Raw genomic sequence first — 22,835 nt, forward strand, 5'->3', positions numbered from 1 at the left:
GCAGATCCACCCTGTCTATACTACCTGCCTGGCCAGTAGATGCATCCTGTCTTCACTACCTGCTTGTCCAGCAGGTCCACCATGTCTACACTGCCTGCCTGGCCAGCAGATCCACCCTGTCTACACTACCTGCTTGTCCAGCAGGTCCACCCTGTCTACACTACCTGCCTGCAAAGCAGATCCACCCTGTCTACACTACCTGGCTGGCCAGTAGATCCACGCTATCTACACTACCTTCCTGTCCAGCAGATCCAACCTGTCTATACTACCTGCCTGTCGAGCAGATCCACCCTGTCTATACTACCTGCCTGTCCAGCAGGTCCACCCTGTCTACACTACCTGCGTGCCCAGCTGATCCGCCCTGTCTACACTACCTGCTTGTCGAGCAGATCTGCCCTGTCTACACTACCTGCCTGTCCAGCAGATCCACCCTGTCTATACTCCGTACCTGGCCAGCAGATCCACGCTATCTACACTACCTGCCTGTCCAGCAGATCCACACTGTCTACACTACTTGCCTGTCCAGCAGATCCACTCTGTCTACACTAACTGCCTGCCCAGCAGATCCACCCTGTCTATACTACTTGCCTGGCCAGTAGATCCACGCTATCTACATTCCCTTCCTGTCCAGCAGAGCCACCCTGTCTATACTACCTGCCTTTCGAGCCAATCCACCCTGTCTATACTACCTGCCTATCCAGCAGGTCCACGCTGTCTACACTACCTGCTTGCCCAGAAGATCCACACTGTCTACACTACCTGCCTGGCCAGTAGATCCACGGTATCTACACTACCTCCCTGGCCAGCAGATTCACCCAGTCTACACTAACTGCTTGTCCAGCAGGTCCACCCTGTCTACACTACGTGCCTGCCAGCAGATCCAAGCTGTCTACACTACCTGCCTGGCCAGTAGATCCATGCTATCTCCACTACCTGCCTATCCAACTGATCCACCCTCTCTTTACTACCTTCCTGTCCGGCAGATTGACCCTCTCTACTCTACCTGCCTGGCCAGCAGATCCACGCTATCTACACTACCTGACTTACCAGATCCACCCTGTCTACACTACATGCTTGTCCAGCAGGTCCACCCTGTCTACACTACCTGCCTCTCCAGAAGATCCACCCTGTCTATACTACCTGCCTATCCAGCATATCTACCCTGTCTACACTACCTACCTGCCCAGCAGATCCACCCTGTCTTCACTACCTACCTAGCGAGCAGATCCACCCTGTCTACTCTACCTGCTTGTCCAGCAGGTCCACCCTGTCTACACTACCTGCCTGTCCAGCAAATCCACTCTGTCTACACTACCTGGCTGTCCAGCAGATCCACCCTGTCTACACTACCTGCCTATCCAGCAGATCCACCCTGTCTATACTACCTGCCTGTCTAGCAGATCCACCCTGTCTATACTACCTGCCCATCCAGCAGGTCCACCCTGTCTACACTACCTCCCTGCCGAGTAGATCCACCCTGTCTACACTACCTGCCTGGCCAGAAGATCCACCCTGTCTACACTACCTTCCTTGCCAGTAATGCACGCTATCTACACTACCTGCCTGGCTAGCAGATCCACGCTGTCTATACTACCTCCCTGTCCAGTAGACCCACCCTGTCTATACTACCTCCCTGGCCAGCAGATCCACCCTGTCTATACTACCTGCCTGGCCAGCAGATCCACCCTGTCTATACTACCTGACTGGCCAGCAGATCCACCCTGTCTACACTACCTGCCTGCCCAGAAGATGCGCCATGTCTACACTACCTGCTTGTCCAGCAGATCCACCCTGTCTACACTAGCTGCCTGTCCAGCATGTCCACCCTATCTACACTACCTGCCTGTCCAGCAGATCCACCCTGTCTATACTACCTGCCTATCCAGCAGATCTACCCTGTCTACACTACCTGCCTGCTCAGCAGATCCACCCTGTCTATACTAACTGCCTGGCCAGCAGATCCACGCTATCTACACTACCTGCCTGGCGAGCAGATCCACCCTGTCTACACTACCTGCTTGCCCAGCAGGTCCACCCTATCTACACTACCTGCCTGCCCAGCAGATCCGCCCTGTCTGTACTACCTGCCTGGCCAGCAGATCCACCCTGTCTACACTACCTGCCTGCCCAGCAGATCCACCCTGTCCATACTACCTGCCTGGCCAGTAGATTCACGCTATCTACTCTACCTGTATGGCCAGCAGATCCACTCTGTCTATACTACCTGCCTGTCAAGCAGGTCCACCCTGTCTACACTACCTACCTGGCCAGTAGATCCACACTATCTACACTACCTGCCTGTCCAGCAGATCCACCCTGTCTATACTACCTAACTGTCGAGCAGATGCACCCTGTCTATACTACCTGCCTATCCTGCAGGTCCACCTTGTCTACACTACCTGCCTGCCCAGCAGATCCACCCTGTCTACACTACCTGCCTGTCCAGCAGACCCGCCCTTTCTATACTACCTGCCTGGCCAGCACATCCGCCCTGTCTATACTACCGGCCTGTCCAGCAGATCCACTCTGTCTATACTACCTGCCTGTCCAGCAGATCCATCCTGTCTACACTACCTGCCTACCCAACAGATCCACCCTGTCTACACTACCTGCCTGGCCAGTAGATCCATGCTATCTACACTACCTGCCTGGCCGGCAGATCCACTCTGTCTACACTGCCTGCTTGTCCAGCAGGTCCACCCTGTCTACACTACCTGCCTGCCCAGCAGATCCACCCTGTCTACACTACCTGCCTGGCCAGTAGATCCACGCTATCTATACTACCTGGCTGGCCAGCAGATCCACCCTGTCTATACTACCTGCCTGTCCAGCAGATCCACCCTGTCTCTAATACCTGCCTGTCCAGCAACATTAGTCCTTAAAAAAAGCAAACACACAAAATCAGTGTCTATTTACAACAGCCAAATATTATGACTACGATTTGAAATAAATTTGTAGACCCATGTAAATAAATTTTAAAACTCAATGAGGATATAAAAATGACATGAATAAAGCCTGAAAATCATATTATTAGAATGGAGGACATAGTGACATAAAACCTCAGTGACTGTAGACTCAGGGCAACCTAGACTTAAAAGTCCCATGTGGTCTTTTACATGTAAAAAATGAGAATTAGTCTAAAAGTCAATTTTGTCTAAATTTTGATTTTTGGTGAGTATACAGTCAAAATAGTTGTGAAAAGAAAAAAATAAAGTTGTCAAATTTCATGTAACCTATGTTATTTGGAAATTTAAAATAAGTTATATAAATATTTATAACAATGTTAAACAATTTCATAAGTGGACTGAATAAAACATAATATTTTATCATATACAATAGCTCCTGCCTTCCTGAGGAAAACATAAAATCAAAGGGCGTGAAGGAAGGATTTTGGTTTCACTGCAGAAACATAATAAGACACCGAAGTGTGTGTTTGTGTGTGCGTACATATATTTAAACTACAGAATATAAAATAGCATCTAATATACATCAAAAATGAGTTTCATAGAAAAATTCATTTTACATATATGTCTATAAAATAATAAAATTTATTCAGCCTCACAATTACTTTGTGAACTGGAAATAACAATGAGTTGTCATTTTATCCAAATCTAAAAAAAAACATACATACAGTATCAAGTTCTGGTTAAAGTAGTAGATGTACTTTACGTGGTACATAAGAGTATCTATACAGTTTGTGGGCTGCATCTTGCTAGAATATATTACATTATAAAATGCACCATTTATTTACTCTGCGATCAAACCCCCAACTTGCCCCAAGTGGAGGAACCCTCAGACATTTGCAGAGGAGTCAGTGTGCTAGTAAGCAGCATTCTTTACAAATCTATGAACATCAAGGTCTCCTTGGAACAGATGCTCTGTGAACAATTTATAAAACTCCCTCCTGTTAGACACTTAGGTTGATTCCATTTTTAAATCAATTACTGAATAAAACACACTCCATCGTGTGGATGAAATGCTACCTTAATTTGTCAAAGCTATCATTTTCTAAACTTTTCTTTTTAATTCAAATCATTAATAATTTGTGACCAGATCAATACTGATTCATTGTTTTAAGCTTCAAATGCATTATACAGTTGGGCAGAACACATTTCCTCTCATCAATCTTCTTTTCCAGGATTTGTCAGGTATTCCTGACATTAATTCACTACTAATATGCACAGTTTCTCTAATCATGGTCAACAAAGATCTGACAGTGCATTGTCCCTAAACGATCCATACTTGCCTCACTGACACCATGTGGCCCACTTCCCATCTATAATCTATGTCTGGGTGTGAAGCCCTTCCCATATGATCCCCCGAATGGAACTTCACAAGTTCGAATTCACTGGGTCACAGTGTGATAGTGTGAAGATGGGAGGACGTTAAGGGAAGGCTATGGGTGAGTTGGGAAATGTGTTAGGCAGGGTCAGAGATTACCACATCCTAAAAACAACACTTAAGGAGGGAGATGACAAAACAATCAATGAATAACATGACTTTTTCCAGTGAAAGTGCCATATCTAATCCTTTTCCATTTTTGTTCTCTGAGCTTCTTTCTTAGGGAAGATCCTTCTTGAGAAGCCCCTGCTGAGTATTAGGAAAATGCATTTCAGGACCTCTCATCAACACATCCTCTTTCTTTACCACAACCACATATATGGGGGCATAACTCAACATGTGTAAAAGACAATCTTCTGCTTTTCACTGAACCTCCAGGAATTCAGGACAATAAACGTCTACATGGAGACCAACAGGTGAGTTTTTCTGCCCCTTCTTTCATAACACCGTTCTTCCCTAGTGAAGTCCACACACATCCTTACATGGCAGCTGTGGGTATATCAACTGGTCTGACCCCTTTTAGTCACAGAGCCTGAAGTCTCTGCTAGTACCTGCTGAGCACAGGGTCATGGGTGAGAATGGGCAAGTCTTTTTCTTTCTCTGGTTCCTGAACTTCCCAGGCTCTCTCACTTCTGGATCCTGAATACCCAAAAACCAAGCTTCCTTCCCAGAACCAACACCTCCTCCTCATTAGAAAGATACCTTTGTTCTGTGCTTACTTTATAAAGTCTTGCTCTTTCCCTATCCACTGCCTTGTGTCAGTATGTGTGTGTCTTGGGGCCGGTGGAAAGGTGAACAGAAGCCAGTAGAGAGTAACCAGCACCAGCTTCACAGGAATGGCATGACCTTGATACGATAGCGGCAGTTTTCCCTTAACATCCCTGCCCCCTAAAGACTTCAGATCATATGTCACACTCTTAAGTAACAGCGATTTGTCTTTCACGGTTTTAATCATATTGATTAAAAGCATTTGTCTTCTCCAGAACATCACATTAAGTCATCAAAAAATATAAACCTTAAAAAGATGTAATTATTGGAACTGAAAAACATAAAAGGTGAGCTTTGGAAATATCTTTGAGCAATTTATTCGTTATGAACACATGTAATCTGTTGGAACAAAGTTCTAGGACAATCCAGGTCATCCTTCAATATTTGCAGAAAACATCACAAAGAAAACTTGATACTTATACTTAGTTGGAAACTTTATGCCACAGCCATTAAATACAGAGATCATACAAAGGAATAGAGGAAGCTGTTGAATACTAAACTAACTCAAATCATCAATATCCTTACGGAGTGCACACTGAATTAATGTAAAAAGCATTTAGTAAACAAAAAGTATTTTCAATATACAATTAAGACTGAAAAGTATTGAGGCCTCATAAGCTGAACCTGACACAATAAATTTAAAAGGGAAACTAATTTGGAAATCAGAAAACCACTAAGGAATTTGGGAATTAGGCTTCTGCTGCCCTCTCTGCTACTGACGGTCAAGGCCTCCTCATTGTATTCTGTCCTCCATATCTCTGCTGATTCCCATTTTGTCTATTTCCATTTACCCCACTACTGCTTGCTCAGGTCACTCTCCTTCACTGTCGGTGTTTGTTCAAATTCCTCAGACCCATCCACTTCCCATCTAAACTTCCCTCCCCTTTTCTCGCTCGTTGGCTCTACCTCCCTCCTCTCTGTTTTCTCCTCACTCTCCTGCCCCACCTCGACATCCACAGCGAGGCAATGAAGAAGCCCCTGCCAAGGAGGAGCCCGCTTCTCAGTGGGACACCGGGAAGGTAGACACCCAACAGTCACCGCTAGTGGGAGGCGATTGTGCAGAAGCACGAGGGTTGTTACAGGATCGGGCAGGTCCCCTACCCCAGTCTCGGACTCAGGGTCCTGTCTGAGGCGGCCACCCCGAAGCGTGGGGTTTGCGGAGACGTAGGGCCTGGCGGAGGGAAGGACGGGGAAGCATCTCAGGGAGGACTGGCGTCTGCCGAATCCCAGGGCTGCCCTGAGGGGCCAAGAGGGGCGAGGGTGGGGACGATGGAAGACAAGCCACATGCCGAATGGGGACCTGAGGCCGCGCGCGATAGGATGGGCGGACGGTGAAGAGAACTAGGGTGGAAGGGCCGGACAGGGGCGACCTCAGTGACGGAACCGGACACAGACGCAGATCTGGCAGCTGAGCGACAGGCTTCGGAGCATTTCCGGGCGTCGCGGGACTCCCCGCCGACAGGAGGGCGGTTGCCGAGCCTGTGACATCCGCGGAGACCAGCAGACCCCGGGTGTGGAGGACGCCGCAGGGAGGGGACTGCGTGGCTGGGTTTGGCCACAAAAAGCGGAGGGCACTCACCCGAGCGGACCTTGGCTCCGGATAATCCGTTTCCGGGTCAACAAAAAACGTCGCGCGAGGGGCGGGGCGCGTACGTGCAGGGAGGGGAGGCAGAGAAAAAGGCGGGGCCGGGCCGGGCCGGGGCGGGGTCTCGGGCAGGGGCGGGGAGCTTACCGACCTCCCGCCCCCGCTGCGCGCGTTTCTGGCCCTGCCAGTGTCTCCGCCGGTTGAAAGCGCGTGTCTGCGTCGGGTTCTGTTGGAGTGCGTTCGGTGCGCCGTGGGTCCGCGCTGCTTCCACCCAACTTCCTGTTAGGTAAGAGGCGCGTGAGGCTCCTGTGCCGGGGGCGGTGCTGCTCCCGAGTCGGCGCGCGGCGGGGACGCGAGTCCGTAGGTGCTGGCGGGAGCGAGAGTCGGGTGGGGACCCTCGCGAGCCCGCACTCCGCCTCTGGGTAGCAGCCTCTTCGGCCCCACACGGCGTGACGCGCGCTCGGGCTCCGCGTTCGCGTCGAGGCAGAGGCGTAGTAGGGGTCGGGCCCAGGGCTGGAGGGGCCGGGACCGGGCGGGGTGCCGCCCTGGACACCGCGCCGGCAGCTGTTCCGCGCGGGTTCATGTCATTCCTATTTTCAACCTGTCCTGCTCCGCACCTGAGATGATTTATAAATTCGGTACCTTTGGGACAGGCGTGGATGACATCCCATAATTTACTTCGTTATTAATTTCTAAATGTAATACATACCACTCTCTAAAAGTATTTTTTAATTTGAAATATATTTGTATATATGTACATATATATTTATTTATTTCTGAATTTTGTCTCCAGTACATATAATGAGGCTTGTAAAGTGGATAGTGTTCAGGACATAGGTGGATTTTGCTTTTAAGTAGTAAAGACTTAATTGGTGACTTACTGGGGCTATTTGATAAGGATTTTTTTTTTTAAATGAACATTAAAAACAGTGAAATTGTATTTCCGGATTTCATTAGCTTCATTTATATCTTAATTGGTGAAAACTGTAAGTTAATAACTCATTTTTATTTCCTTTGGAGATTCTTAAGTTTGTGCTACCAATGATTATTTCCAAAAAAAGGCACACTTCTGGTTTTCCCAGAACTAATGCTAGCTTCTCAATCTTTTGAGTTTACTTGATATTAATGTTTGACCTCAAATCATGTCACATTTTTGAAGAAAACTTTCTCTTAGCCAGTGGAACATAAACCACCCTGGAGTTCATATAGAGGAGGGGTTCAAATGCCTCTGATAGTGTCGTGTTAAAACTCATGGCCAAACCCAAGGTCACATAGCTTTCTTTCCATGTTTTCCTCTAGAATTTGTATAGTTTTGTCATTATAAAATGGGTCTTGTCCTAGACCCCAAGAACAGGTTTTTGGATTTCACATGGGAAAGACCTTTTGGCAAGTCACAGAGTATAGTGAAGTTAAGATAGTTTATTAGCAACTACTCAGCTACATAGCAGGGCGTCCTCAGAAAGCAAGAGGAGGAATGCACCTGTTGTAAACATATAATTTTTTTTTGAAACAGTTTCTCTCCTGTCACAATGGCATGATCTCGGCTCACTGCGACCTCTGCTTCCTGGGTTCAAGGATTCTCCTGCCTCAGCCTCCCAAGTAGCTGGGATTACAGGTGCGTGCCAATATACCCGGCTAATTTTTTGTATTTTTGGTAGAGACTGGGCTTCACCATGTTGGTCAGGCTGGTCTGGAACTCCTGGCCTCAAGTGATCTGCCTGCCTCGGCTTCCCAAAGTGCTGGGATAACAGGCATGAGCCACCCGGCGCCCGGGCTTAATGTTTGTTTATATAGGTTATTAAGAATCAGTTTGTGACAGGCTATTAGTATTGTTACTTCTCTTTGTTACTGTCGATTTTAACATCAATTTATGTGTGTACTATTACCTTTAAAGTAAAACTTATTTTTAAACTAAGAATGCTGAGTGGTGTGCTGTGTGGGTGTACTGTGCTGGTGTTCTATGCAGGTGTATTATGCATGTGTGCTGTGAAAGTGTATTGTGGGGGTATATTATGTAGGTGTGCCATGCAGGTGTATTGTACAGGTGTGCTGTATAGGGGTGGTATGCAGGTATATTGTGCAGGTGTGCTGTGTAGGTGTATTATATGGGCATGCAGTACAGGTGTGCAGCATCTGAGCTCCGTCTTCACCTTAATCCCGAACACTCTTTTCACCTCTCACCTGCACTGCAGTGCTGTTTCCTGGATCACACTTTTTTGTTTGTTTGTTTAATTCCTCCAGGAGAATGAGTGTATAGGAAATAAGGATTTCTCTTCACATTTTACTTGACTAACAGTTTCTCTGGTTATAGAATATATTTTGGATTTAAAGCTCTCTCTGAATTTTGAAAACACTGTTTCATTTTCCGCTTGCCTCCTATGTTGTTCTAGAGAAGCTCAATCGCAATCTCGTCCCCCATCCTCAAGCGATACACTTCTTTTTTCTTTATTATCTTGAAGCATTCAGGGTCTTTTCTTCATTTTTGGCTTTCTGAAATTGCAGGACAATATGATGTAGGTTCGTTTTTATCTCTGTGCTAGCTCTTTTCATTTGGAAACCTGTGTTGCGTTCTGAATGCTGTGGTCTGAAAGTGTACCTTCAAATTCATATGTTCACACTTAATGGCCAAGGTGATAGTATTGAGAGGTGGGGCCTGAAGGACGTGGCTAAGTCACAAGGGCAGAGCCTTCACAGTGGGATCAGTGCCCTTAAGGAAGGGCTGAGGGCCTGGGTTTGCCTTTTTACCTTTTCACCTCCTGCCGCGTGAGGGCCCAGCCACAAGGTACCATCTGGGAAGCAGAGTCCCAACCCTTGCCAGACACTGAGCCCACTGGTGCTTTATCTTGGACTCCCAGCCTCCAGAACTGTGAGAGATAAATTTCTGTTTTTTATAAAGTACTCAGTCTCCTGTATTTTGTTGGAGCAGTACAAATGGAGTAAAACACTAAGACATTTTCTGGAATTCTTTGATTGATAATTTTTTCTTCTCAGTCTTTTATCTTGTCTCTTCCTTGAACACATTATTTCTGGTGTTGAACATTCCAGACCACTTCTCCAATTTTCTTATACTTTTTTCTCCTATTTTTCACCTTTTAGATCTCTTTTTGTTGTTGATTTACTTTCTGTGAGGTTTACCAACTTTATCTAGTACAAGTTTTATGGAATTTAAAAATTGTTTCAGAGTTTAAGTTCCCAGATCCTCTTTTTTTAACTGTTCATTTTTCATGACTTCCAGTTCTTTAGTGGTGACGTATCTTTTCTCTCTGAAGACAGTATTTACAGTTACTGGAATTCCTTCCTGCTCTCCACCTGTCTTTGGTCTGTTTTCCTTTTCCCGTTTTGATCTCTGTCCTTCATGGTGCATCCTCCTGTTGACTCCTGACCATCTGTTCACATGGGGCTGCTGTGGGGTGACCGGGCCACGCAGTCTCCCTTGGCAGCTCTCAGCTGTCTGTATCCGTCAGCATTTTCTCTTGGTCTGGTCAGGTTTTCCCAGAGGGGACAGTCCGTTCTCCAGCCTGGGACAGAGGTCAGGGACACATGTGCTCCCTCCCTGGGTTGGCTCTTTATATGGTGAGTGGCAACTGGTTTTGGACCTCTCTCTTGCAGGCTGGGTCTGTGGGATGTAATTAGAAAGCAACTTTATTTCTATTCACTTACATTTATTCATTGGAGGAGGAGTTTCTCTTTCCTAGGGTACACGTGGACATGCCTATGACTTTTCTGCTTTGTCTTATGTTTAAAAATGTCCTTCAGTCATTGCAGGTCACAAGCAGGCTATCAGCTCAGTAATTAAAATAATTCGGTTCTTCATAGTGAATGTAATTCTAAATTAGATTTTAAGTTGTAACTCCCTGCTTCAGCAATGGTGATGGGGCCTAGAAACCAGAGCACCTGAGCTCCATCCTACAGGGGGCCATACCGGGATCTTTCCATTTTCAGAGGCTTCTCTCTGACAGTGAAGTGTGATGACAGACTTGGGGGCAGGGCAATGGCTAGCTTCTGAAAGCCGCTGGCACTTTAGTGATAAATTTAAATTAAGTGACGGGTAGTGAGGTGTTTGTCAAGGAAAGTGCCGTCCAAATGCTAAATACTGATTATTTCTGCAGCAGTGACTGCAATACCTCACTCAATCTCTGTCTTTCTTGAAGAAGTCATAAATAAACACGATGAATCTATGTAGAAGCGGTAAGTCAGAAAAATCTGTGTGTTTCATTACATAAACAACGGTTTATCATTAATTGACAGGCTTGGATTGGGAGTTGTTAATGAAACTGATGAGATGTTGGACAGATGAGCTCCCTCTTATTTCGAAGAGCTTATCTAGGGCTGAGTCATGGGACCTGATAGCGTCTTGTGGTGCTGTCTTCTTGTAGATATATCCGTGTTTTAGAGGATTTAGTTTTTTAAAATTTCTCTTAGAATGTGAATTTTACAAAAAAGCACTTCCCAAATGGATGATTATTTGAAAAATGAATTGTCAGACAAAACTGACACATCAGTTATGGAGAAAACCCTTCAAGAACTGGCTTTAAATGTGTTTTAGTGGGAGCCACAGTGTGGAGAGAAACAGAAGAGGGAGGAGAGGGCGCCCCTTGTTTCTTCTCTCCACAGCCAGGCCTTCGCCACCTTTCTCAGTGTCTTCAAGAATAAAATGCCTCCGTTGTTGGTTTTAGCTGCTTTTCTCCCTCGGGGTAGGTAAAGTGGTTCCAAAACGACAAGCATCCTGTAAAGTCGGAAGAGCTGTGTCAACATTAAGCTGCGTGACTTTGGCTATGAGGGAAAAAAGGCTGGTGAGTGCAGAGAAGACAGAGCTGTGGCAGGGCTCCTCCCGCCAAGTCGCCATGGAGAGGGGCTGTGAGGTGTCCTTAAACGGCCTGGTCTCCAGGGTGACTCAGGAAGGGCTGAGAGTGGTCAGCTCCCTCACCTGCTAAACCCGCAGCGCCCCGCTCAGCACACACCCTCCACTCTCCAACCTTGCCCAAGTGCTGGTCCGTCACGGCACCAGGACAGGGCATGGAGACTTGGGCTGATTCTTTTCTCTCCCTTCCTCCCTCTTTTTTTTCTTCTCTCACTCCTCCTTTTCCTTTCCTGCTGTTTCCTGCTCTCCTGTTTCTGTCCTGCAGTGTCTGGAGCTCCAGAGAGGCTGGCCCTGGGGTGGGGTCCACATGGACATGGGCGTAAGCAGGTTTGATGGTCATGGGCATAGGCAGGTTCGATGGCCAGAGTTCTTTCAGCTCACAGTAAGTTTTGTTTTGTTTTGTTTTGTTTTGTTTTGTTTTGTTTTGTTTTAGATGGAGTCTTGCTTTGTCGCCCAGGCTGTAGTGCAGTGGCGTGATCTTGGCTCACTGCAGCCTCCACCTTAGAGCAATCCTCTTGCCTCATCCTCCCGGGTAGTTGGGACTACATGTGCATGCCACATGCCTGGCTAATTTTTGTATTTTTAGTAGAGACACGGTTTCACCATGTTGGCCAGGCTGGTGTCCAACTCCTGACCTCAGGTGATCCATCCGCCTCAGCCTCCCAAAGTGCCGGGATTACAGGTATGAGCCACTGCACCTGGCCTCAGCTGACAGTAGGTTTTAGAGCCAGATATTTACACACTAACTTGCCAGAAACATATATGACTTTATTATTCTAATTGATTTTAAGAGATATTATGAACTCAAATCCAAAGTTACGTCCCACCTATCATGACAATTTCATTAAGGAAAAAGTCAAACCATTTTGGAAATGATTTAAGTGAGCAACTTGGAAAAATTTTCTACATTCCTAACTTACTTTCCAGGGGATCGTTCCTGACTTAACATCTATCAGGTGTCTTAGCTTAGCTCTCTTTTTACTTCAGGTTTTTCTTGCCTCCTCAGTGTGCTGGGAGTCCCACTCCACTCAAATGCCCTCAGGTCTAATAATTAACTTCATTGCAGGCTCCTGGCAGGCCTGGGTGGGCGGCAGCTGCATTGTGCTCCTGAAGAAGATTTAAGTTGGGTTTGGTGAACTGGTAGAATTTGCATTTTGCTGTTTCTTTCCCTCTCCCAGAATTTGTACCTTTAAATAGGTTTTTTAGTGTCATTAAGTATATCAAAAGGAAACCCAGTGGGGCAAATTGGCCGGGCTCCATAGAGGTGGCCTTGTCTAAGCCTTTCATCTTATCGATAAGGAAAGACAGGACCAGAGAAGTCGCCGACTGTCCCTGGTCCCACTGCTTGGTTTGGGGCAATTTCCTGAAAATAATATCCAAGATGCAAAGCATATGGCTCTGGTGAGACATGTGTGAGGAGCTGAGAATGAGACGGCTGAGTGTCGGGGGCAGATCACGAAGGGCTGCGCTCACCATCAGGAGGTCTGGACTTCGCTGTGAAAGACACAGGCCCTCATGTACGTCCAGGATGCGGTGACAGCGAGGCTTGCAGGAGACAGGTCCCTGCTGTGTGGGGGTGAAGCTGGAGGCAAGATGATGCCTGGAGCTAAGAGATGGTCACAGGAAATCCGGCAAGAATTAACGAGGACTGGACAGTGACAGGCAGGCCAAAGAGTGAGAGGAACTTCACTGGCAAGAGCCAACAGGGCTTGTTGATTTAGGAGAGGAGACAAAGGACTGAGGGGTTTGGGGGCTGGGGCCTGGGAGGGTGGAGAAGCCACTGTCTGCATTATGGGATGCAGGAGGAGAAGCATTCAGTTCTCCACACAATGAGTTCCCTGAGAGGTGTCTCAGTGGGATCGTGGTGCAGTTGGAAATGTTCATGAGAAAGATGAGAAGCGGCACCAGCAGCAAACATCCAGGAACCCAGAAACCATCAGCACAGGTGCCTGCTGAGTCCCATAGACCCACTAATGGCCCACCAGGACCAACCAGGAAGCAAGTGTGGAGCTGGGAGTGAGGGAGCTGGGTGTGGAGATCAGGGGGAAGACTGTCATCTAAAGGGCGAGAGTGGGAAGGATGGAGTCATCTGTAGCTACAGGGAACCACCATTAGTCAGTCCTTGTGATGAAGGTGCAAGATGTTCCTGCTTCCGCGCACGTCGCTCCTGGGCTGTGGGCAAGTTTGGAACTGCTGTTGTTCCCCAGCATAGTCTCAAGCGAGTGGAATGACGGTTTCCTATAGAAGCACAGTTCCTACAGGAAAGAAGGCGTGGTTAAGAGCATGAGGGCCAAGGAAAAGGAGGGGATTAGAGATAGCCAGCAGTGAGGGAGACGGTTCCAGACACGAGCCGAGTGGGCAAAGCAGGGAATTCAAGAGAGAGAGGAGCATATATTACGCAAATTTTAAATTTTTTGGTAGCAAGCAACCTAGCAAAACTAGCTGAATCCAAAGGGGATTTATTGGCTCACATCATAAAAATCTAGTGAAAGATTCTAGCTGAAGTCATAACTAGATATACGAGTTTAAATAATTTTGTCAGAAACTGTTTCTTTGCTGCTCATCCACCTATCCATCCACCCATCTATCCAACCCTCCCTCCCTCCATCCACCCATCCACCCACCTACCCACTCACCCGTGTCTTTATCCATTGATCCACGTGCACATCCATCCTTTCATCTCTACTTTCCTCCATCCCTCTCCCTTGCCTCCCTCCCCATCCATCTGCCCATCCCTCCATCCACCTCTTCATCTCTCCTTTCCTCCCTCCCCCATCCCTCCACCCCCTGTTCACCCACCCATTCATCCATCCCTGCATCTTTCCGTCCACTTCTCTGTCTTCTTGTCTCTGCTTCTCTTTGTATTTTGTTCTCACTATTCTCTATTTCATAAGGCTTCCTGAAAGCGGCATCCATTTATTCCTTGTAGCAAGATCCCTAGAGAAAGACTCATAATTTATCTCTCAGTGTTCATAAACTCTCAGGGCAAGTTTTATTTGGCCTGACTTGGATCACCTGCCAATATCTGAACGGATTGCACACCCAGGTAATGGAGTATTTTAATCACTGCAGACCCCCCACCCTCACCTGACCAGTGCCCCACAGCAGGACCACGAGCAGGGCCAAGGTGTCTCCAAGGTGCTGAGGAGCTGAGCGCTCAGCCAGCCCACGGCCACGATGGTGTGCCTCCGAAGCCACGCGGCTTACTTCACAGCCAGGATCCGGGATCAGGCTATGTCCCATGCAGCCTGATGAAGGGTAAAAAAGAGCCCAATGCAGAGTGCTGGGGAAGCATAGAGAGAGCCGGGGCACCTGACCCAGCCTGGGACGGTCAAGGGTGACTGCCGTGCAGGAGTTGGCATCTGAGCTGTTCCTTAATTAGAAAGCCTGGCACAGAATGAAGAATGCATTCCTCAAACTGAGTCAGGGTGCAGGGATCCACATGACCGTGCTCCTCTTATCCTTAGGAAGGGACAAGAGACTTCTATCCTTTGGCCTGCAGCTGCTGAAATGACCCTTGCAAGTACTGAATCATCTTTAATGAAAAAATACACTAATATGCTGCAAATTTGGAGCTTATCCTTTCAGTCCAATCCATGGGGAAGGTGTGAATTAAAGACCCTGTGCGTGTGCTGGAGGCATCGTGGACTTTTGTTCACGATTTCCTTTCCTTTTGATGCTTCAGTTATGGTGGTTGCAGCTCTATAAGCTGTGTGATATGGGCAATTCCTCTCACCTTTTGACCACTATTTTTCTTACTAATGAAATGAATACATACAAGAATACTTGAAGTTTAAATAATGAAACATCTGATACTCACAGGCACTACAGTATTGGCTGAATTCTTAAGTGACTATAGGACACCTTTAAGCATGTTCTAGGGCAGGATAACCAAGGACACCATCTCACGTGCCAGGAAATGAGGGGCCTGTGTCCAATAAGTCCCTGGCTCCATGTGGCTCTGCTGTTGCCCACTTCTCTTGGACCCTGGTTGTGGTCTTCCCTTGCCACGGGGCCTTTGCTGGTGATACTCCCTCTGCCTGGAGTACCTCCATAATGTCCACTGCTGGGGCCTTGCCCATATTCTCTACATGTGGCACTGCAGTGCCCCCCCAGCCAGCTCCCAGGGGCCAGTGCCCCCAGTTCCTTGTCCAAGGTCTTTGTCCCGCAGCTAAAACCCAATCTGCTGCCACCGGCTCCATCCACAGGCAAAAGTTCCCGGGAATAAATGCGTCAGGGCACAGCCCTCAGGAGACCTTGGTTACGGACATCTATCCATCTCCTCGCCCTCTGGGGTGAATACATCTCAGGTGCACTCTTTTGGGTGTTTCTTTTTGCTTTTGTTGTTTGCATTGGCTCCCAGAGTCTGACAGTGGCAGAAGGCTCCAGCTGCCCACAGTGGTGACTGGTTTTAAGCGTACCCTTTGTTGGCCATCTTCCTCTCTCTTGGAAATAAACAGCCTGCACTCCAATCCTTGTCACAGGGTCAGCTCCTGAGGGATCTTCTTGGCCTTGCTAATGCTGGCTTATCCTTCAGAATTTAGCTTCCATTTTCACTTCTTCATGGGAGTCTTCTTGAGTATAGTCTCCTCGTCATGTCTGCCGCTTCTTCCTGAGTCAGGGAATATCTCTTAGGCCATATCTATTATAGTCGTGGTCTGACTTATATTTGTGGTCAATTTTTTTTTCTTAATTTTTCGTAGAGACGGGGTCTCACTATGTTGCCCAGGCTGGTCTCAAACTCTAAGTGATCCTCCTGCCTCAGCCTCCCAAACTGCTGGGATTACAGGCTTGAGCCACCAAGCCTGGCCTATGTTTGTGGTCTCTTTGACTAAAAATGATCTTTTCTTCTAACCTGAAATCTCCTGAGGGATGGAACTTTGTGTCTCTTTGGTTTATCCCAGCATATAAATAGTTACGCATTTTTGAATTAACAAATGAGCACAAATTTGTATCAAATTATTATCTAGGACAAGCAGTGGAAAAAAATTCTGTAAAGGGCCGGGTAACTGTTTTAAGCTTTAAGGGCCATGCAGTTTCTGTTGCAGTTACCAACTCTGCTGTTGAAGGGTGAAGACGTGGGTAGGTAATATATAAAGGAATGAGCATGTCTGGATGTTCCAATAAAATTTTATTTTCAAAAATAAGCAGCAGAGGAGAGCTTCTGGAATGGTGGTGTGAGGAGCTTGGCAGGCCCTCTATCCAGGGAAATAACCATTTAACCTCCGAACATTCATTTTTTTAAAACTAGAAATTATCCTAAAGGCATACAGCAGGTGGATAAATATTTACTCAAATAAATAATCAAATCTCAGTAAGAACGGTAAGGATCAGTGGTATCAGAGCCACAATCCACCGCTCCCCACCCTCAAAGCGCATTGTGATGAAAGCTCTGCTCCAGGAAGGTCCAGCTAACAAGATGCTGTGGTCTGTCTTCCCGGCTCCTGGTCTAGGGCTGTGGTTTCACCCCAGGAAGGCAGGCCACCAGCATCTCTCATCCCTCTCAGTTTGCACTGCAGAAGCACCGTTCCAGGAAGTTGCAACTGAGAGGACTAGGGCTCCCCTGCTTCAGCCTGTGCTTGTCCTCAGAGGGTGGGAGCCCCATCCCAGGTGTGGCAGACTGAGCACATCTGCCTGGATTGCCCCACACCAAGTCACTCACAGTGTGGAGGTTCCATGTCTGGAGGGGCAAGCTAGGAAGACAAGAGGCTACCATGCCCACCCAGCTACTGGCTCATGCAGCAAGGGTGTCGCTCTGGTGGAACTGGATCACGGTCCCCAGGAGCAGAGGAGACCTAAGAGCAGAGCATGTCCCTGAGGTGACAGACTTTACTTGGAGAACAGCATGCGGAAGTTCAAGCCCAAGGAAGTTGGCAAAAATAGTGGAGATTTTGTTGATGAACAATTAAGAGTGGGTGAAATGGTAGACTAGATAGAACTTAAACAGAGGGAACAAGGAAGAGAGATTGTTGAGAAGAGCTCCGGGGTCTGAGCAGACTTGAAAAGCTGGCAACACTCTGCCCCTGCAAAAGAGCCTGATGTTCACTGGATGAGTCTATGGAGCAATTTGTGCCCCAGGCATCATAAAAAATGATAGAGCACTTGCATTTAGTGGATGTTAACAGCTGTGTGTGACACCAAAGAGAGACAGACCAGCAGAAGCTTAACAGAGAGCCCAGAGAAAACCACAGATACCACAGGTGGTCGGAGAGACTGTGTGCTAGTCCAAGGCTGTGCCCTCTGAGGAGCAATATCAGAGCTACGTCCCTAATCAAATAAACAAGCAATCAAACAGAAATAGCAGCCCCTGCGGGTCGGGGTCAGAATCCAGATTTGCTATGATATATTACCTAAAATGCCAGTTTCCACAAAAATGCAAGAAAACAGGAAAGTGAGACCCATGCTCAGGAAAACAGAAGGCAACAGAAACTATGACAAATTCCAGACATCGGATTAACAGACAAAGACAGCCAGTGTCAAAACAGCCACAGAAACATATTCAAGTTACTAAAGGAGACCATGTTAAAAGAATTAAAAGAAATTATGATGACAGTGTCCCATCTAATAAGGAATATCAATAAAGAAATAAAAATTATTTTAAAAAACAAAAAATTGTGGAGTTGAAAAGAACAATAACTGAAATGAAAAGTTCACTCAGGGGCCCAGCAGTAAATTGGAACAGTCAGAAGAAAGAACCAGCAGACTTGAAGTTATGTCAATAGAGATTATACAACCTGAAAAACAGAGAGGGAAAAATAATTAAGAAAAATGAATAGAAGCTTGGGACATCCTTAATGAGAGTACCAGAGGAGATGTGAGAGAGAAAGAAGCAGAAAAAAAGTTCCAAGCAGAAAAAATGTCCAAGAAATAATAGCTGAAAAGCTCCCAAATTTGCTGAAAAATGTTAACCTACACATTCAAGAAGCCCAAAAAGCTCTACACAAAGAGACACACCTAGACACACACACCTGGACACACACACCTGGACACAAACACCTAGACACAAACACCTGGACACACACACCTAGACGCACACACCTGGACGCACACACCTGGACAAACACACCTGGACACACACACCTAGACACACACACCTAGACACACACTCCTGGACACACACACCTAGACACACACACCTGGACAAACACACCTGGACACACACACCTAGACACACACACCTGGACACACACACGTAGACACACACACCTAGAGACACACACCTGGACACACACACCTAGACACACACACCTGGACACACACACCTGGACGCACACACCTGGACACACATACCTAGACACACCAGAATCAAAATGTTCAAGACAAAGACAAGGAGAAACCTTGAAAGGAACAGAATAAAATGGCTCACCACAAAGAAGGGAACCCAGTAGGATTAACACTTGATCTGTCTGTAAAAGGATGGAGGCCAGAAGGCAGTGGGATAACATATTCAAAGTGCTCAGAGGAAGAAACTATTAATCCACAATCCTATATCCAGCAAGGCCATCTGTCAGACATGAAGGTGAAATAAATTTCAAGATAAGCAAAAACGGAGAGAATTTCTTGCTAGCTGAACTGCTTTATGAGATATTAAAGGAATTCTTCAGGCTGAAAACAAGTGAACTCATACGATTTTCAAATCCACACAAAAAAGCAAAGGGCAGTAGTAAAGGTAATTATGTACTTTTTAAAAAAGGTGTAAATGCATATATTTTCTCCTGTTTTCAAAAGCAACTGCATAGGACAATAAGTATGGAATTGTATTATTGGACGCATAACATACAGAAATGTAATATACTTGACAATAACAGTACAAAGGAGGCAAATGGGAAAAACTGCACTGGAGTAAGGAAATGGCCACATATTGTATAATCCCATTTATATGAAATGTCCAGAATAGGCAAATCCACAGAAGTAGAAAGTAGATTCATAGTTGCCTGGGCTTGCGATGTGGGTGCAAGAAAGAAGGAAATGAGTACTAATGAGCATGTTTCCCTTAGGGAATGACAAAAATGTGATGATTTCACAGCTCTATGAACGTACTAAAAACCATTGTAGTATTAAAAAAAAAAAAAAAGAACAAAAGAAAAGAAGAGTAGAATTTTGGGTACATAATTGTAAAATCAATCTTTAGTGGAAAGCTCTGTTATCCAGAAACTCAAAATTAGCTACATAACTTCCCCAGAAATATTCATCCGCAGCAAATATTCATCAGAGACAGAATCCAAACCCAGGTCTGTGTGAATCTAAAGTTTATTTTCCTCCACCTGCCTTAACAACAAATTATTGAATAACTCAAGGACACAATACCTCGAAAGAGTCTGAAACATTTCTGTGATGAATTTACTTATGAATCCCAATACTCTTGATTCTAGATGATGTGTTTTGTTCAGCATCTGTTTCAGTCATATCAAGTAAAACCACTTCCCCCAGGTAATATAGTTTTCCTTTTTACTTTTTCCCTTGGCCTCAGCATTTACAGCCCCGTGCAGACTGTTTTAACAAACGCGTTGGTGAGGTGTGGTAGAATCACAGGCAAAGGCGTGCTTTGCTGTGCTGTGTAGGTACATATCAAACGCTCACCAAGAAATTATAAAATATTATTCATAGCAGTTTTTTTCTTCAGTATTTTATGGGCTAAGTGCAATCTGGCTTTTGATAACAACGGCTGAATAATATTTGAGTTTGCCAGCTGAAATGTCCTAAATATCTTATTGATTCATTTATTGCCTCTTCAAATAACAAGGCAACAAGACAGTGTCAGAATGCTCAGTGTTTTTACTTTTTTGTCTATCATGGGATGGTGTCAGTTTCAGTAAAAACGATGTCTCTTATTTTGGTCCACATTGTAGGAATCTCACCAGTGACACGCGTTTGTGAAAAGCTGTGAATATTCAGTGCCACAGGGTTAAACCTCGGTACAGAAGCGAGACCCTGCTGGGCAGAGAAAGGGTGACCTGGAAGGTGTGTGAGGGCCCCGCCCATGGGCCCCTGTGATGGTCATGGCCTCAAGAATCACAGTCCAGGTGAGGCCCTGAATATCCACAGCCAGGACCAGTTCCCTCTGCTCTTGGGTGCCAAGGCCACCGTCAGCCAGGAGAGGCCTGCAGAATCAGCCTGTGCACCTCTCTGACGATAAGCAGAGATGCTGGTTTAGAGACTTGCTACTCACGGGGAAGTCCTTGGGCCTCCTGTACTCACATTACCTGGAACTTCTTGGAAATTCAGAATCTCAGGCCCCAACCCAGACGGACTGAATCAAAATCTTCATTGTGGTAAGACCCTCGGTGACACACAGGCCTGGGAAGCACAGGTTAGCGTGTCACCTTGGGCAAAGCTCTCAGCATTGTGAGCCTCTGTTTTCTACTCTGTAAAGGAGGCATGAATATCTACAACATCAGTTTGCCATGAGTATTGAAAAATAATGTCTTAGAAGCACAGGGCAGAGCCTGGCATGTAGTTTGTGCTCAGTGCACAGCAGACAAGAAACCACATGCACCAGACCTGGGCGGCCGTCGGCAGCCCACCCTGAGCAACCATGGGTGGCCCTCTTGTCTCTCGGGACAAGAAATGCTTCTTTAGAAATGCTTCTTTCCTTTCTAAAATGAAAGTTTTGGACAGTATTTCCTTTCATTTAAAAATTTCATCTGTGTATTTGATGGCCTCTGTTGTTTCTTTCCTGAAACTCCTGCTAACATACTGGGAGCTGAAGAAGGGCTCCGTGAAGGCGAGTAGGGGTGCCTGTCCCTCCCAGGGAGGAGCTTCCCTCCTCTCACCTGCTGCACGAGCCCTAGTGCTTCACCAACTCCAGCCTCAGTGCCCTGACACTGGGGGAGGGAAAGGAAGCGCACGCACCAGCCGTTCCACCCACCGAAGTTGTTTGGTCCCAATCTGCAAAATCAGTTAAACGTCTTCCTGCCTGGCAGCAGATCAAAGGGTGAGGGGTCTGGGACAGACAGAGACGGCTAGAGAATGGATGGTGAAGTGCTCAGAGGCCCTGTGGGCTATCCCACACTCGGCGGAAGACAGCAACACCATCAAATCTCCACCCTTTGTTATCCATGACTTAAAGAAAAGTGAACAGGGAGGTGGACAACTGTGCAAAGACTGGCTGGAGTCAAATCCTGGGCATAGGTGAAGCATCGAGAATGCTTGTCACACGTTTGAATGTGCAGGGGGACTCTGACTGGAAGCTCCTAGCAGAGGCTGAAGACACTGGTTAGGTCCTGGTGCGTGCCTTGGGATGCATCCCAGGCAACGGGCCCAGGAGCTTGAGGTCATGTCCACCTGGCTCACCAGGGAGTCCTGCACCATTCTTCAAACCTAACTGGAAGAGACACTGATCCTTCCTCCCACCTAAGGGCTCCCAGAGCCACAGGTCTCCGACTCTCCTGCAACACCTCCTGCTGCCTGTTCCCACCGCCCATGATTCACTCAGTCACCATCCTCAGCAGCACCCGACAGCCTCTGTGTGTCTGTGTCACTCACCATTACCAGCCCCCTGGGTGCCCAATGCATGTATGTTAGACAGAACAAATGCACGGCGGCCTTCAGCAGCACCGACCGCGTCAACCCCTCTGTGCTCACACCAGGAGTGATCAGCGCACACGCCCTCCCACAGGATGGGAGAAGGTGATAACAGCTGAGCTGGGTGTCCAGAAGCCAGCCCCACCCCACAGCCACTACTGAGAGGTTATGAGATCATGGCCTTATCCCGAGTAATGCTGCTGCAGTGAACTGGGACTTTTTTCCTCTGAATTCAAAGGTGGGGCAGTCTAGGCACCTGGATGCACCATCTGCTCTGTCCCGGCCTGGTGGCTGCTCACTGTGGGATGCTGTGCAATTAGACAGTTACTATCTTTCCCTGGTTGACGGATTAGAGTTTCCCTTTTCTGAGCATCTTGTTTTGAAGTGATCCGAAGTGTTTAGGGTTAAAGAGCGTGATTTTCCCAAACTGTCCAAAGAAATAGAAGCAGGTCTGCAAGAGGGGGGTGCCCAGAGCCTTGAGATGGAAGCGAGATGGGGTGAGACCTGGGGAGCTCTCCAGGCCGCCGGGAAGCTGCACGTCATCCTCTGGACCTCTTTGCTGACTGTGTGCTGTCACCACAGCAGCCGCCTTCTCTCATCTGTAAACAGGATTTTACGTAAATTTCCATACACTTGGTTGTTGACAATTAAGTAGATTGTTTTTAAAGATACTTGAAATGATATCAGAATTTCCTAAATATATCATTAAAACAGGAAACTTAGTTACCTACTCACTCGAATCACTAGAGAATACCA

The 22,835-nt window shown here is 46.8% G+C and overlaps 2 long non-coding RNA genes across 7 annotated transcripts in view, besides 3 other annotated features; one reads left to right on the plus strand and one right to left on the minus strand.

Moving 5' to 3' along the window:
* Window positions 1-5,410: 5,410 nt before the first annotated feature.
* On the minus strand, window positions 5,411-6,727 carry LINC00115 (long intergenic non-protein coding RNA 115). Its single transcript, NR_024321.1, has one exon. It is a non-coding gene; the product is annotated as a long intergenic non-protein coding RNA 115 (long non-coding RNA).
* Window positions 6,420-6,749: an enhancer, noted in NCBI's record as "active region_3". NCBI's record gives its function as "activates an Ori minimal core promoter by ATAC-STARR-seq in GM12878 lymphoblastoid cells {active_cell/tissue: GM12878}" and the evidence as "EXISTENCE:reporter gene assay evidence [ECO:0000049][PMID:35858748]".
* Window positions 6,790-7,019: a silencer, noted in NCBI's record as "silent region_1". NCBI's record gives its function as "represses an Ori minimal core promoter by ATAC-STARR-seq in GM12878 lymphoblastoid cells {active_cell/tissue: GM12878}" and the evidence as "EXISTENCE:reporter gene assay evidence [ECO:0000049][PMID:35858748]".
* LINC01128 (long intergenic non-protein coding RNA 1128) overlaps window positions 6,796-22,835 on the plus strand; it is a 31,856-nt gene continuing 15,816 nt past the window's right edge. For 4 of the 6 annotated variants that reach the window (NR_047519.1, NR_047521.1, NR_047523.1 and 1 more), the window contains exons 1-2: window positions 6,796-6,980; window positions 8,208-8,309. This is a non-coding gene — a long non-coding RNA (long intergenic non-protein coding RNA 1128). Of the gene's footprint in view, window positions 6,981-7,002; window positions 7,055-8,207; window positions 8,310-20,404; window positions 22,810-22,835 lie in introns of those variants that run through there. The other 2 variants (NR_047526.1, NR_047525.1) reach the window with 2 other exon arrangements.
* Window positions 16,519-16,698: a silencer, noted in NCBI's record as "fragment chr1:772694-772873 (GRCh37/hg19 assembly coordinates)". NCBI's record gives its function as "represses an EF-1alpha promoter that drives an FKBP-Casp9 reporter gene in an ReSE screen in K562 erythroleukemia cells {active_cell/tissue: K562}" and the evidence as "EXISTENCE:reporter gene assay evidence [ECO:0000049][PMID:32094911]".

Source organism: Homo sapiens, chromosome 1 (assembly GCF_000001405.40).
Source record: "Homo sapiens chromosome 1, GRCh38.p14 Primary Assembly".
NCBI classification, from domain to species: domain Eukaryota; kingdom Metazoa; phylum Chordata; class Mammalia; order Primates; family Hominidae; genus Homo; species Homo sapiens.